General features: G+C 52.9%; 1 protein-coding gene and 1 long non-coding RNA gene across 8 annotated transcripts in view, besides 7 other annotated features; one reads left to right on the top strand and one right to left on the bottom strand.

Annotated features, from left to right (window-relative positions):
- CD82 (CD82 molecule) overlaps nucleotides 1–14,992 on the top strand; it is a 55,950-nt gene that overhangs the window by 33,552 nt on the left and 7,406 nt on the right. For 5 of the 7 annotated variants that reach the window (XM_047426900.1, XM_047426901.1, XM_047426903.1 and 2 more), the window contains 3 exons: nucleotides 2,198–2,270; nucleotides 7,098–7,222; nucleotides 7,395–7,469. In XM_047426900.1, coding sequence (XP_047282856.1) covers nucleotides 2,198–2,270; nucleotides 7,098–7,222; nucleotides 7,395–7,469 — 273 coding nt within the window. Of the gene's footprint in view, nucleotides 1–2,197; nucleotides 2,271–6,457; nucleotides 6,542–7,097; nucleotides 7,223–7,394; nucleotides 7,470–14,992 lie in introns of those variants that run through there. The other 2 variants (XM_011520067.3, NM_001024844.2) reach the window with 2 other exon arrangements.
- Nucleotides 410–910: an enhancer, noted in NCBI's record as "H3K4me1 hESC enhancer chr11:44619920-44620420 (GRCh37/hg19 assembly coordinates)". NCBI's record gives its function as "activates a minimal SCP1, AML or CMV promoter by ChIP-STARR-seq in primed H9 embryonic stem cells {active_cell/tissue: H9 hESC(primed)}" and the evidence as "EXISTENCE:reporter gene assay evidence [ECO:0000049][PMID:30033119]".
- Nucleotides 911–1,411: an enhancer, noted in NCBI's record as "H3K4me1 hESC enhancer chr11:44620421-44620921 (GRCh37/hg19 assembly coordinates)". NCBI's record gives its function as "activates a minimal SCP1, AML or CMV promoter by ChIP-STARR-seq in naive H9 embryonic stem cells {active_cell/tissue: H9 hESC(naive)}" and the evidence as "EXISTENCE:reporter gene assay evidence [ECO:0000049][PMID:30033119]".
- Nucleotides 3,449–4,052: an enhancer, noted in NCBI's record as "H3K4me1 hESC enhancer chr11:44622959-44623562 (GRCh37/hg19 assembly coordinates)". NCBI's record gives its function as "activates a minimal SCP1, AML or CMV promoter by ChIP-STARR-seq in naive H9 embryonic stem cells {active_cell/tissue: H9 hESC(naive)}" and the evidence as "EXISTENCE:reporter gene assay evidence [ECO:0000049][PMID:30033119]".
- Nucleotides 6,548–7,377, bottom strand: CD82-AS1 (CD82 antisense RNA 1). Its single transcript, NR_182290.1, has 2 exons — nucleotides 7,058–7,377; nucleotides 6,548–6,770 (listed from the first exon to the last, which is right to left on the bottom strand). It is a non-coding gene; the product is annotated as a CD82 antisense RNA 1 (long non-coding RNA).
- Nucleotides 10,940–11,440: an enhancer, noted in NCBI's record as "H3K4me1 hESC enhancer chr11:44630450-44630950 (GRCh37/hg19 assembly coordinates)". NCBI's record gives its function as "activates a minimal SCP1, AML or CMV promoter by ChIP-STARR-seq in primed H9 embryonic stem cells {active_cell/tissue: H9 hESC(primed)}" and the evidence as "EXISTENCE:reporter gene assay evidence [ECO:0000049][PMID:30033119]".
- Nucleotides 11,444–11,613: an enhancer, noted in NCBI's record as "active region_4659". NCBI's record gives its function as "activates an Ori minimal core promoter by ATAC-STARR-seq in GM12878 lymphoblastoid cells {active_cell/tissue: GM12878}" and the evidence as "EXISTENCE:reporter gene assay evidence [ECO:0000049][PMID:35858748]".
- Nucleotides 14,076–14,155: a silencer, noted in NCBI's record as "silent region_3276". NCBI's record gives its function as "represses an Ori minimal core promoter by ATAC-STARR-seq in GM12878 lymphoblastoid cells {active_cell/tissue: GM12878}" and the evidence as "EXISTENCE:reporter gene assay evidence [ECO:0000049][PMID:35858748]".
- Nucleotides 14,226–14,275: a silencer, noted in NCBI's record as "silent region_3277". NCBI's record gives its function as "represses an Ori minimal core promoter by ATAC-STARR-seq in GM12878 lymphoblastoid cells {active_cell/tissue: GM12878}" and the evidence as "EXISTENCE:reporter gene assay evidence [ECO:0000049][PMID:35858748]".

Consider the following 14,992-nt stretch of genomic DNA (forward strand, 5'->3'; position numbering starts at 1 on the left):
GGGGCTTTTCTGTCCCGAGACTGGCTTTCTGGGTGAAGGCCCAGGATGGATCCAAAATATCCCTATAGCTCACCTGCCACCATCTGGCTTCCAGTCCCTGATGGATAAAATCAAGGCCTCATATAAAATTCCGTGTGTATAAAATGAGGTCAATTACAAGGCCCGTCTCACTGGGAGAGAGGAGAGGACAGATAATACCTCAGTGATGATTCTGGTGGGAGACACTGGGGGGCAGACGTGGGGTGGTCACCGTGCCTTTGTGGTTGTAGTCATCAGTCACAGTGGTCTTTAAGGTAGCAAGTACAAGGGTAAAGGGAGAGAGGCAACCCCCTACTGAGCCACCTGGGCCCTGGGGCAAAAGGAAACATTGATAATACTGATACTGTCAACATTTTATTTCAAAGTTTAATAGTTCAGTTATCATGGATTTTTGGCCTTAATTTTTTTTTTTTTTTTTTTTTTTTTTTTTGAGACGGAGTCTCACTCTTGTTGTCCAGTCTGGAGTGCAGTGGCGTGACCTTGGCTCACTGCCACCGCCGCTTCCTGAGTTCAAGTGATTCTCCTGCCTCAGCCTCCTGAGTAGCTGGGATTACAGGACCCCATCAACACGCCCAGCTAATTGTATTTTTAGTGCAGACGGGGTTTTGCCATGTTGGCCAGGCTGGTCTCAAACTCCTGACCTCAGGTGATCTACCCGCCTGAGTTTTTGGTGCCTCCTCATGTGTTACACCTGAGGCAGGTGCCTCGTGCCTTGGGCCGGTCCTGGCTCTGGTCTTTGATAATGATAGAATGATTCTGATGGAGACCCTGTGCCCAGGCCAGCCCCAGGCTCGGGGCTCTATGGCAGCTGCTGGCCTCCAACCTGAGATTATGGGATGATGGCTGAGGTGGGAACCCAGGGCTGTGATACAGGTGGGAGTTTCAAGACGGGTCATCCACCAGGTGGGCCCAGTCCAGGCCCCCACTAATGGCCAGCCTTGTGGGTTGACACAGGGCCACCCCCACCTCCAAAGGGAACCTGCATCTTTGCCCAGATGGCAGGCACTTCCCCAGCCTTTGCCAGCTTTATGGGATGGTGGATCTTGGCTGGGACTCCACCTGGGGAGATGAGCTCAGCCCTGGTAGATGGGAGAGAGGCAGGGAATCCCTGGGCTTGGGATCCTTATTTGTAACACCTCATTCATTTTTTCCTTTTTGTGGGGGGCAGAGTGAGGGGGTCTTGCCCTGTCACCCAGGTCATGTCATGAACACAGTTCACTGCAGCCTTGACTTCCCTGGGGCCAAGTGATCCTCTCTTCTCAGCTTCCCCAGTAGCTGGGACTACAGGCATGCACCACCACATTGGCTAATTTTTGAAATTTTTTGTAGAGTCAAGGTCTCACTGTGTTGCCCAGGCTGGTCTCAAACTCCTGGGCTCAAGTGATCCTCCTGCCTGGGCCTCACAAAGTGTTGGGATTACAGGCATGAACCACCGGGCCTGACCTTCATTTCCCTTTCTAGTCCTGCATTTGCAGTTTGGTTCATCAGCTCATTCATTCCCCCAGCCACTTAGCACCCAGTGCTGTAGAGCTGCTGGGGATGCAGAGCTGCCTCCAGCCAGCCCTGCCCTCAGGGAGCTCACAGTTTAGCCAGAGAAACCAACACAGCAGTTAGACCCAGTCGGAATGACTGTTAAGAAGGGTGGGACAGTGGTTGCTGCAGAATGGGGGCACCCGAGTCTGCCTGAGGGGGTCAGAGAAGGCTCCTGTGGCAGGTGACCCTGTTGTTCAGACCTGGGGATGAGTTGGGCTTTGATGTTCAAGTCCACGGAGGGTCCTCCTCAGAGCCTTTCTTGTTTGGGAAGCTCCCAGGCCCTGAACTGGGTGGAGTCGGGGGGATGAGCTGAGAAAAGAGCCAGGAGATGTGGCAGGAAGGGTGCCCCTGGCAGGAGGCTGCACCAGGAGGCTTGGCTGAATCACACATGGTGGAGGGGGGCAAGATGGGAGGCAGGAGGGATTCCCTATCCAGGGTCCTGGTGTCTGGCTTGCTGCGATGTGGGACCGGAGGCCATCTGGACATCTCTGGGCTGGAGAAGGGTGGATGTGGTGCCCTCTGTGGCCCCCTGCCCTGCCCACCCTGACTTGGGTTCCAGGGACAGCTGGCAGGGGGAGGGCTATCTGCTCTTGGCTCCCCATTAACTGCTCCCTTCTCCTTCCAGATCCTGGGCGCAGTGATCCTGGGCTTCGGGGTGTGGATCCTGGCCGACAAGAGCAGTTTCATCTCTGTCCTGCGTAAGGACCCCTCAGCTTCCCCAGACCCAGGCCCACTGAAGAGGGGAGGGCCAGGGCGCAGATACAGCTGCTCCCATAAGTGCTTCGGCTTCAATGCCTGTTGCTTTTCCCGCTGACCTCAGGGATGTGGCGAGGTCCTGCTGCCCACCACTGCCCATGGCTCCCTCTGCAGGGGTTTCCAAAAGGAATTTTCTCTTCTTCCCCGAACAAAGCTGCTGTTGTCTGGGGGAACACTGGGGATGAGGGAGGCTTGTTTTCCCTTCCTGGCCCCTTCCCTTGGCCCTGACCTTAGGAAAGCCTCTTACATTCTCTGTCCCGTCACTTGCCCATCCAGCAGAATGTAGGCAACAGCCCCTCCCATTTCACAGGGATGTAGGAAAGATAGTCAGGGGCTGATGAGGCACCTGCTATGAGTGGTGCTTCGCTATAAGCCTGGCAGCACCTACGTGGGTCAGGTGTGTGCACAGATGAGGAAGGTTCCAGGCACAGTCACCAATTATCAGGCTCCTCATGTGCCAGGCAGTTTGCACCGATAAACTGTCTTAATCCCACCACAGCCCTGTGAGGTAGATACTGTTCTATTCCCACCTCACCAATGAAGAAACAGAGGCTCAGAGAGGTTAAGTCCCTTGCTGAAGTTCACACAGCTTCTAAATGGTAGGTGTGGGACTCGAACTCCAAGAGCTTTGGTCCTAAATGCAGCACATGGCAGGGTGAGCCACAGTGTGGAAACCCCTTCTTTCACCAGAGGCAGAAGGAAAGGGGCCTAAGGCATTTTTACAGGGATAAGAGCCCTTCTGCGCCTGCTCGGCCTCCTCCAGGAAGCCGTCAGGGCCTGCCACGCTGACTTCTCAGGGGCTCCCTGTGGTGGGAGAGGGAGGCACAGCGGAAGCCCCCAGGGGACAGCCGTGCCACTCCCCTCGCTGAGTTTGGCCTTGGCTCACTTCTCCCAGCAGCTGCCCAAGGCAGCTGGTTTGGAATGTGGCCCATGACAGCTGCTTGATTTACATAAAGCGGAACCTAGCTAGGATGTGATGATGGAGGGGCCACATCTGTCCCCCTGGCCCCAGGGGCTAGGCCTCCCCTCCAGGAGATGGAAAGCAAGGATGATCTACACTCTAGCCACATCTGATGCACCCCGGGGCTATCAGTCTCATCCCCTTTCACCCTCCATTCTGGGGTTAGGGTGGGTGGGCTACCCGTGCCCCCCACATTCTCCTGGCCTGTGACACACCCTCCTTGGCCCCATTAGGCCCAGCTCTCTACTTCCTGAGTCATGGCCCAACCCAGCAGGCACTGCACCCCAGGGCAAAGTCTAGAGGCCCAGCCTGCCCACCCACATTTCTGCCCTCTGCGCCCTGCCCTGCAACTGGCGCAGTGGGGGTGAGCCCACTGGGTGGGGAGAGCTTCCTGCATGGCTCTGGCCTCCTCCCTGTTCGGGTCTGAGAATCTCAAGCTGGCCGGACCTTAAAGGTCTACTATCTGCAGGAGGGGGTGCATTTTACAAATGCTTTGGCCCGAGCCCCACCCACCCCAAGGGACCTGACTCGGTTGGTGTGGGTGGGAGCCTGAGTGCTGGTGTTTTCTAAAAAGTTCCCCAGGTGGATTCCCCAGGCAGCCAGGGTTCAGAAACACTGATCCTCTTGCCTGGTCACTAGGCACTTGTGTAAACTGAGGCCGGGGGTGGGGAAAAATGACTTGCTAATAGTCACAGAGCAGCTGAGGGGCAGAACTGGGGACAGCTCTTTCCCTACCGAGTTGAATCCCTGCTCTGAGTCCACTGGGCTGGGCATTCCTATCCTCATTTTACAGAGGAGGAAATTGAAGCACAGAGAGGTGTAGTAACTTGTTTAAGGGCACACAGCAAGCTGGTAGGGGAGCTGGCTGCAGATGAGGTAGCCTAGCTTCCGAGCCCGTGCCTTGAACCCCTGGACCACATGGCTCTGCAGCCACATGCCACTGGTTAGTACCTTAGTAACAGGAAGCACTTTGCAATGAAGAGCAGACTCTAGCCTGACTGCTGGGGTTCGATTCACGGCGGTGCTGTCCACTAGCTGTGTGACTCTCAGCACATTGCTTCACCTCTCTGTGCCTCCTCACCTATAAAATGAGGATCGTAATAGAGTGCACTTACTGTGGTTATTGTGAGAAATTAAATGGGCCTCTCATTTTTATCTGAAAAGAGTTTGGGACAGCCCCCAGTGAAAAACCCTACATAAGTGATTGTTAGCTAAATTTTATAATACAATTTAATCCTTTTGCCATCTTCAAGTAGCAGGCTTTAGACCCATTTTACAGAGAAAGAAATAGTAAATGGCTTGCCCAGGGTCAGAGTGTGTTGGCAGCAGAGCTGGGATTAGAATCTACTTTTCTTATCCCTCATCCCTTTCTGTTTGGGCCGCTTCCTTTGGTCCCTTCTAGGCCCAGAAAGACTAAAAGGTGAAAAAAAAATTTTTTTTTCCATGCCCTGTGGATGGCCTACCCCAGAGCATACCCTCACCTACTTCCTAAGTCAGCTTGCTCAGATATGGGGTAGGCCTGGGATCCTGGGGGGAGACAGGGAATGGCATCAATTAAATGTTCTGAGATACGGAGACCTCGCAGTTTGTCTGGTCTCCCAGGGGAAGGATCTGAGTTGGGGTCTCAGCCCTGATCCTTCCCTGCCAGGCACCTTGCAGCCTGCTAGCCTTTCTGAGCCTCGGGGTCCTTGCAGACAAATCAGGATGTGAGTACAGCCACAGAGGGTGGTTGCTGAAATTAGGCAGGATGCTTTGGATAAAGGGCCTTGTTCAGGGCTGGCACACGGCGGCTGTCTGGGCAATGTCAGTTTCTTTTTTCTGGGAGTAATCACTGGGAGGAATTGTTGGAAGCCTCAACCCAGGAAGTTTAGGAAAAGTGGAATTGACAGCCTCTCCCTGCCCACGCTGATGGCTGGGGCTCAGTGCCAGAAGATCCCCGCACTCACCCTGAGGAAGGTGGGGGGCTCCTGTGAGGAACTGGGTGGAGGAAGCCTTGAGAGTAGGGTTGGCCAGGGCTCTTCCTGAGCTCCAGAACATTCTGTCTGTTATCAGGAAGCGGAGCTGAATCCCACAGACTCCCTCCCGTCCTCCAGTTTGATAGTTATTCTGTAAGGGCACTAACGCCCCTTGGGGACCAAGGTGGGGACCTCGGCCTCTCCAGGATCCCCAGGGAGTCGTGGCCAGCCCCAGGCCTGTATTCTCCCTGCTGATGGTAAAGGGGTTGGTCCTGGCTGTGCCTCAGTGCTTAGGGGAGCAGATTAAAAACGCAGGTCCTTGGCCTCCTGCTGGGAGCGTCTTGGTCGGGTTGTAACGGACTCAAGCATCTGCATCCCTAAGAGGCTCCTCTGATCCACACTACTCTCCAGCCTTCTGGAGACGCCAGCACCCTCGCCCTCCAGGTGCGTCCCATGCCCTGGGGGTACAGTGTACCCATGCTGGTGAGTTAGAGATGACATGAGCTTTACCCTGTGTGATGGGTTGGGTGTCTTAGGAAATGTTGGCCAAGTGCCCCTGCAGGACTCCTGACCTCTACCTCCCGGAATGGGCCTGTCCACAGGTAGCTCTAAAGAGGGTCTTAGCCATCAGGCCCATTCCTGTACCTCCTAAGCATCATTTCCTCCCGGGCTTCTTTCTTGCTCTCACTGGTCCGTTCTCTCACCTTCTTTCCAATCTTCAAATAACCAAGCTCCTCCTTCCTCAGGCCTTTGCACCTGCTGTGTTCCCTGCCTGGAATGCTTTTCTTACAGATCTTTGCTTGGCTGACTTCTTCATTCATGTCTTGGCTCAAATGTCACTGGCTCAGGCTGGCCTTCGTCGACCCATTCTGACCCTCTCCCAGCCCAGCAGTTCTCTGCAGTTAGCCAGCTTTGGTATCTTCATGGCGCCCAACACAACCAGAAAACCTGTATTGTGTACTTTTTGTCTCCACTCCCCACCCCCAAATGTCAGACCTTGTTAGTCACTCTTCTGCATCCCCAGCAACTGGCACAGTGCCTGGCATGAAGTGGGCACCCAGTAAACATTTCTTGGCCGAATGAACATGCAGCACACCTGTAGCAATACATGTGCCCCGTGCATCAGTGGAAAGAGTGTGGCACTGGAGATTTGCATATTTTCAAATTCCAGCTCAGGCCCTTGCCTGTTCGCCTTTCTGAGCCTCATTTTTTTCTTCTGTGAAATGGCCATGCTAGTGCCTGCCAGGCAGGGTGATGTCAGAGTTGGAGACGGCGTGTGGAAAGCCCATGAGGCACAGTGAGTGGGCAAGAAAGGCTGGTGTTTGTTATTATATGGACAAGAAGGAAGGCGGGTTAAAAATCAGCTTGGAATCTTAATGTCAGTGGCCCCTGGAGAACCAGCCAGCCTCTTGTCTGTCAATTCCGCAGATATTCACTGTGCACAGCACCTCACTGCGAGAGGCGCTGTTCGAGCTGGGGGTTCCCCAGGAATAAAGTGAAGCTTCTGCCCTCATGCACCTCAGGTCCTTGGTGGAGGGGGAGAGCAGACAATGAGCAAGAAGAATCAGTGAAATGTAGTCTATTCAATCCTGAGAAGCCTTACGAAGTAAAAAATAAAGCCGGGAAGGGGCTTAGGCTGGATGAGGGTGTGGATTGCAATTTTACTGGGGGAGGGACACAAGTGGGGATGGGGGTGACCTGGTTCCCTGTTGGGCAGTGAGAAGCCAGCAGGGGAATGCAGCTGACCCCAACACCCTGGCTCCAAAGAGGGGATCCGGAAGAAGACCTGGACGGTTAGGCCAGGTGTTTATACCTGCTGTGCCCACTGATTTTGTACTTCTTCTTCCCCCTAGAAACCTCCTCCAGCTCGCTTAGGATGGGGGCCTATGTCTTCATCGGCGTGGGGGCAGTCACTATGCTCATGGGCTTCCTGGGCTGCATCGGCGCCGTCAACGAGGTCCGCTGCCTGCTGGGGCTGGTGAGTACGGATCCCTCCGCAGCTGCCTGCCCATTTCCTCTCATCCAGCCGAGTGCAGCCTGACCGCGGCGCTGGCCGTAACATCGGGTGGAGAGCATCTCTCGGGGCACGCAGGCTGGGTGCACCTGGTCGGGGACCCTCAGCTGACTTTGTGCCTGCTCTGTGTCCCCAGTACTTTGCTTTCCTGCTCCTGATCCTCATTGCCCAGGTGACGGCCGGGGCCCTCTTCTACTTCAACATGGGCAAGGTAAGCCCCTCTCTCCCTCCCTCTTCACTGGGCTGGACCAACCATGGGGGTGATTGACTGAGTGTGGGGGATGGACAAGGAACCCCCCCAGTTGTCACAGACAGATCCAGTAGGTGTCAGGGACGGCCTCCTGGACACTATTCCTTGTGATCAAATGGGGGAGCGTTAGAAGAGAAGGCGGCAGGTGTGGGCAGTCCCCGCTGGGCCTGGATCTTAGCCTGACCCCCCTGCTTTCTAGCTGTGTGGCCTTGGGCAAGCTGCTTGCCTCTATGTGCCTGTTCCACCATCTGTAAAATGGAAACAATAAGAAAACTGAACTCTCAGAGTGGTTGCAAAGATTATTCGAGATTATCTGAGTGAAACACATAGCGCATGGCACCATAAGTACTCAATAAATGTTATTCTTGTTATTATTAAGATACTTTAGCAACTATTAAATCCATGCCACTCACCCACAAATGAGGTTTAGAAGGAGACCGTTAATAAAAACATCAGTCTTGTGTCCGAGGGGAGATGTTCAGCTTTCAGAAACAGAAAATCAGACTTACAGCGGCTTAAAGTTGAAGGACATCTGTGGTTGACTTGACCGGAAGTCTGGTTTGGAAGCTCAGAGGCCCTGGTTCTGGCTGTTGAGCATCCTCGCTGGGATGGCTTTCCTGCATTATGACACTTACCTCGTGGTTCCAAGATGGCTGCCACAGCACCAGGCACGATGTCTGTGCCGCTGTGGCCTGAAGATGGGGAAGTGGGCAGTGCCAGACATGGCCATCCCTTTTATCAGAAAAGGCGCAGTGGCTCATGACTGTAATCCCAATACTTAGGGAGGCAGAGGTGGGAGGATTGCTCTGAGACTAGCCTGGGCAACATGGTGAGACCCCATTTCTACAAACAAATTTTTAAAAATGCTAGCCATGGTGGTGTTCACCTGTGGTCCCAGCTACTCAGGAGGCTGAGGCAGGAGGATCCTTGAGGCCAGGAGGTTGAGGCTACAGGGAGCCATGAAACAGAGCTTGGGGCAACAGAGTGAGACCCTGTCTCAAAAAAAAAAAAAAAAAAAAGTCCTCCAACAGACTTCCCCAGACTGGGTTACAAAGCCACCCCTGGTTGCAAAAGAGGCTGAGAATGTGAGTATCCAACTTTCAGACTCTAAAGACAGAGGCACAAGAGAGAAAGGAGCCAAGAATGGCTGTTGGGTGAGCCAGTTAATTGTGAGTCACAGTTATCACGTAAGAAGCACCTACTGTGTGCACGTGGGATCTTCTAGAAACTTTCCATACAGCGTCTTGTCCTCACAATGGCTCTGCAGGGTTTTATGTTGACAGATGGAGAAGCAGATGCTCTGAGATGAAGAGCAATAACAACATAGATAACAGTGACTCTAACACCCACCATCCCTCCAGTTGAGTCCATGCACAGCATATACCAAGTACAGTGTTGACCACGTTACACTCCTCCTCTCGCAGATCCTCACTAGGCCCTCTCAAGGTCGTGGGAGAATCCCCGTCCTGCAGATGAAGGAGTAAGGACAGCCTAGGCTCCCTGACTCCGAGTCCTGAGTTCACCCGTCCCCAGACCCTGCTGCACATGGCCTGTGGCCTAGCAGACCCTTAGGGTCCCTGCTTCCAGTGCCACCAGTTCTTGTCCACCAGGGAGGGTGGCAGAGCCGGCAGCCAGATAGGCTCCTGCCCTTCACCACTTGAAGGTCAAGTTGCCTGAGATCCCTCTTGGAAGGAAACTGAGAAAACACTATACCAACATCAACATCAACAAATAACATTTAATAGAACTTAGAACTTAATGGAACTTCACAAGACAAGATACTCTTGGTAGCTAAGGGCTAACTTGGGCACTGAGCTTCCTGGCAGTCAAGGCAAAAGTGGAAAATAGTGGATTTTGTAGATGAAAAGCAGCTTGTTTGGCTGTGAGACAGGAAGCCAGCAGTTAAGGGAGGGAAATTCCTTTCCCAGAAAAATGGTCATGGGGTCAGGTCTTCATTTCTGTCCTATGGCACTGAGCTTCTTTAGGACCTAGTTAGTGATATAATCAGGGTGGATTAGAACCAGGCCCCAGTGAGCCGGTTTCTATGACTCAGAAGCTGGTCGCCTCTGCAGGGATCTTGGGCAGTCCACCCTATGTGATTCACCATCTCACAGTAATAAATATGGCCCACCAGGTTGGCACCAACCACATGCCAGGAGCTGAGCTAGAAAAGTGAGCTGCAATACATGTTCAAATTTACAAACATTTTCCATTTGAAGAAACTGAGGCCCAGGAAAGCAAAGTGACTTTCAGCCACTGACACACACAGCTTGGATGCATCAGAGTGGGGATTTCCATCCTGATGCCTTGGAGTCCAAGGCCCATGCCTCCCTATCCACCACGCTGCCCTCCCGCCGGCTGGGTAACTCTGCTTGGCTGATAATGAGGAGCTTAGCCTCAGAGGTGTCCTATCAGCCCCAGAACAGGACTTGTTTGGAGATTTGGGTTTCTCGACCCCAGCCAAGCTCTGTGCATTGCACCCCCTGCCCCTGTCTTCCCCTTCAGAGTCCACACCCCCTAGTCCCAGCCTGCCTCACCTTAGTCCACCACCATCTTTTCTGGAAGGCAGGGGGAAATTTTCTGGCTTTGCTGAAGAAGTTCTGGTGCCACTGTATCGCCCGAATTGGAATGAACAATATATTTTTTTCTTTCGCAACGCATCATAAATCTCAGTGGAAGACTAAACATACTCTTGATGTGTTTATTCTGGCAGACAAGGCTCAGCGTGGGGGTGGGACTTGTTTGAACCTAAGGAAAAGAAAGGCCTTTTGAAAGGAGATAGGGCTCCCGTGCAGGTGGGTGGGAGTGACCCTGCTGTGGTCTCCAGGGCTGCCCTCTGTCCTTCCTGCCTCTGTCACCCGCAGCCACTCTTCTCAGGGCAGCGATGGGGAGGTTGGGGACCTTGGCATGGCCTGTCACCTCTGGAGCCTTGGGTTCTGCTTCTATAAATTGAGAATAAATCTGCCTCTCCCTGCTCTACCACTCAGGTTGAAGTGAACACAGACTGTGACACTTCTGTGAAAATGCAGAATGGTGTCCAAGGGTCTTGACTGTGGAACCACTGCTCTGACATTCTGGGCATGCTACTCAGCCTCCCTGTGCCTCAGTTTCCACATTTGTCAAACTAGTAACAATATAGGCCCACTGTCCCTTCTCTGCAATTCTGAAATCCAAAGAAACACTTTAAAAACCAAAAGTAGCATTTGCAACTAATTTGGTGGCAAAATTGAACCTGAACAGAAGCAAGGCTATGTATGGCCTTTGCCTGCCCCATTCGGGTGTCCCTAGGGAAATAGAAATGAGACTCACTGCAGGCTGCTGCCCCAGCCCCCACTAGTGGGTGTGATCTGTCCCTCCAGGCCCTTTCTAAAATCTGATCCTGTCTCGAGCCGGAGCCCCCAGGGGCTGCCTTGCAGCACTTCAGAGATGAAGAGCACTAACAAACGGGAAGGGCGTCGTGCGGCACTCAGCCGGAGGCTGATGTTGCTGGCATCATTGCCAGTGTTTATTATTATTGCCGCCATTATTCACTTCATGAAGGCCTGGTAAGGGCTCAATAGGTGGCAGCTGTTCCTGCTGCCCTCGTTGTCAGCAGAGCAAGGGCTGCGGGAATGGGGATCTGGGCACGGTGCTAAGATCCTCATCTGCTTGTTTATCCAGCCTCTGGTGAGCAGAGCCCAGCCCTGGGATTCAGGGGCCCTGTGTTTTAGTGTGGGCTCTGCCGCTGATTGCTGTGTGGCTTCGGATAAGTTACCCAGACTCTCTGATCCACAGGCGAGCTCTTGGGCCATGCCCAGTGCAGGCAGTCAGGGATTCTGACTTGTTCTCTCTAGAGAGTGGAGGTGGGAGGAGTGAGAAGGAAGTGAATGCAGTTTGCCCTTTCCTGTGGTGTGTGGGTGCTGAGCTGGGTGCACTTGGCAGGCCATACCTGTGCCAGGGAGGCCCCTGAGGCTCTGAGTGCTGTCACGCTCAAGCAGAAGACATTGGAGGGGAAGGGGCTCACTTGGCCTGGCTGGGAGCCAGAGGTGGGGGCTGTGACAGTGGCAGTGGCTGGCCAGACAACTCCCCAGAGATGTTGGTCAGGGGAACTGTGACTTCCTTCTTGTCCTCCTTGCTCTCACCCTGAAAGCCCCAAATTGTTGGTGCGCACATACCCTCATGTGTGAGACACAGGTGGCGAGACGGGTTCCTAGGGGACAGTGTGGTTCTCTGTGAACTGTCTGCTTGCTGAATTAGAACTTCCTGATTCTCTGGCTTGGGGTTCTCTTGCGATGGGGCAGAGGGAGGAAGAGCAGCTGGAGCCTGGGACAGGGAGAGGTGACCTTTCTCTCCCCTGTTGAGAAGGGAATGGAGGAGTCCAGGCTACCCCTCTGGAAAGGGATTATGGAAAGACACTTGGGCTAGAATCTCTGAAGCACACGCTGGTCACTGGCTCTGCATTCTGGGGTAGCTAATTACGTGGATTGCAGCTGGACTTGCAGAAAAGATGCAGGAAGCGCCCTCATTTCCTATCAGGGTACTGGGATGCAGCCTCTGAGCTGGTGTATCTGTATTCTAGCAAAGCATTTGCCAACATCTCATGTGGGAAACCTGGAGAGGACAGGAAGATGTGGGTCCAATTCATGCATTTATACCTTATTATAAGGGGCTATTTCACACCTTAAAGAGCATGGCAAGAGGTCTGCACAGCACCCCAAGGGGCGGGCACAGGAGCCCGAAAAGTTACCCTGGAGATGTAGTCTAGTCTCAAGTATCTGGATGACATGTGTCCTTCGAGAGAGGGATTTGATTTGTTCCTGTGGTCCTAGCTGGGACTTGGGTAGCTGAGAGAGGAGGAGGATGTGAACTAATACAAGTGGGTAGAAGTCATTTGAGCAGAACTTAAATTGTATCAGAGCCTCTCAACTCCGCAACATGCTATTGTGTGAGGTACTGACTTCCCCATCGCAGGGAGCATTTAAGCAGAGCCTAAAAAAGCATGACTCTTACATTTGGATGATTTGCTGGACGCAAAGGTCTCTCCTAACTCTGACTCTGTGAAAATTCACACTAAAAGAGAAGTCAAAGCTCAGCATTTGGGTGGGACGTGAGTAGAGCCATGCAGAGGACAGCAGGGTCATGGGGAGGCCCTGGGCAGCTTGCCGAGGCTAAGATCCCGGGTCCCTGGAGCTGCACAGATCAAGGTCTGGTCATGTCTCTGCTGCTTTCTATCTATGTGATCTTGGGAAGTTGCTCCAACTCTGAGCCTCATTTTTCTCTTCTGAGAAATGGGGAGGAGGGAGACAGGGAAGACAGGGCTGGCTTCCTCGGCATTCAACCTATGCAGTCACACAGGATAATCTGCTGTTGCTGTATTGAAATTCTTTTTTTTTTCTTTTCTTTTTGAGATAGAGTCTTGCTCTGTTGCCCAGGCTGGAGTGCAGTGGGATGATCTCGGCCCACTGCAACCTCCACTTTCTGGGCTCAGGTGATCCTCCTGCCTCAGCCTCCCAAGTAGCTGGGACTACAGGCACACACCACCAGGCCCAGCTAATTTTTGTGTTTTTAGTAGAGATGGGGTTTCACCATGTTGGCCAGACTGAACTCGAACTCCTGACCTCAAGTGATCTGCCCATTTCGGCCTCCCAAAGTGTTGGGATTACACGTGTGAGCCACCACGCCCAGCTGAAATTCTTAATAATTTTTAAACAAGGGGCCCTGCATTTTTGCTTTGCACTAGGTGTAAATTATGCAGCTGGCCCTGGGCAGGACTCTTTATGGCATGTGACAGTGACTCAACTGAAAGTAGCCAGAGCCAGCAGAAGGCTCAGCTGGATCCCAAAGGCTGCTGCTGTCCCTATTCACCCTTCAGCCCTACCCTCCTCTGTTGGCTCCCTTCTCGGGCAGGCTGTCCCCAGTGGAGCCTGAGGGTAGCCCAGGTCCTCATCCTACCACATTGATGGAAAGAGGGCCGGGTATGTGAGCATGGGTCTCAAGCCCATCTCTGAACCACTCGCCGTGCCTGTGATGTGGATGGCACTGAGTGGCAGCCCAGGTCTTTTGCCTGCTTCTGGCATCGAGGGAGTGGGGCCTCCTCAGCTCCATGGAGAAATAGAAGGGTGGTTACATCCAAGGAGTGGGTTTCTGCAGGGCAGGCAGAAACAATGGAGCGGTCCCTGGGGGGATGGAGGGAGCTCATGAATGTCTTCTCCTGCTACCTCCCTGTCCTTTTTGTCTCAGTAGCTACCTGGTTGCCAGGGTGACCTCCCTGCACTCCCAGCACAGGCCTCCTGAGCATCAGCTCCAAGCTGAACCAGCCCCTGTGGCCATGGTCCCCGTGGCCCAGGTGTGTCCCTCAACCACATTCTGGACTGAAAGATGTTGTGGTGTTTCCATGGAAACCACCCATCTAGGTGGAAACCACCCAGCTTCCATCACCTTCTCATTTCAGGGAGGCTGGGAGAGAAACAGGGAAGTCCAGGCTGCTGTGACAACCACGCTGGGGTTTAAACAGAGCCTCAGTGCAACATGTTGTGAGGAAGCTGGGTGGGTGGGGAAGGATGTGGGAGAGGCAGCTTTCCGCACAGATGCTTCTAGAGAGCCCCTCCTTTCCACACCGTGGGGATCACCCACCCACTGGGGTTGAGAGGTGGACCCGAGATGTCAGATCACCTGGCAGACAGCCCCAGCTATGTGACTCAGGCAAACCACTTAGCTTTTCTGGGCCCTGGTTAAAACTGGGTATAGCCGTGTGGTTTAAATGCCAATAAAGCTTAATAGGTAAAAACCTGGGTTCTGAAATCAGCCAAGCCTGTGTGCAAACCTCACTTCTTCCGCATGTTGGCTGTGTGACTTTGGGCAAGTTAATTAACCTCTCTGGGTTTGTTTTCTGCATCTCTATAATGAGGGAATGGGGTGAATACCTAGGCCATAGGTCTGCTGTGAAGATTCAGTTGAGATAATACATTTAAAGTGCTTACCACAGCACCAGGTACATAACAAACATTTGATAAAAGTTAGCCACTATTAGTGTTGGGATTAATTACTGACAGGAAAGCTTTGTAAATTGCAGAACTCTGTATAAGGGCTTTTTTTTTTTTTTTTTAAATATCATGCTGAGAGCTTTATTGAGAGAAGGGCAGGGAGCGTCATCAGAGGCTGGTTTCCCAGCATTAATTTTTTTTTTTTTTTTTTTTTTTTTTTGAGATGGAGTCTGGCTCTGTCGCCCAGGCTGGAGTGCAGTGGCGTGATCTCGGCTCACTGCAACCTCCACCTCTCGGGTTCAAGCGATTCTTCTGTCTCAGTCTCGCGAGTAGCTGGGACTACAGGCACCTGCCATTCACACCCAGCTAATTTTTGGTATTTTTTTTTAGTAGAGATGGAGTTTCACCATGTTAGCCAGGATGGTCTCGATCTCCTGAGCTCGTAATCTGCCCACCTTGGCCTCCCAAAGTGCTGGAATTACATACGTGAGCCACCATGGCCAGCCCCAGCATTAATTTAAC

Source organism: Homo sapiens, chromosome 11 (assembly GCF_000001405.40).
Source record: "Homo sapiens chromosome 11, GRCh38.p14 Primary Assembly".
NCBI classification, from domain to species: Eukaryota; Metazoa; Chordata; class Mammalia; order Primates; family Hominidae; genus Homo; species Homo sapiens.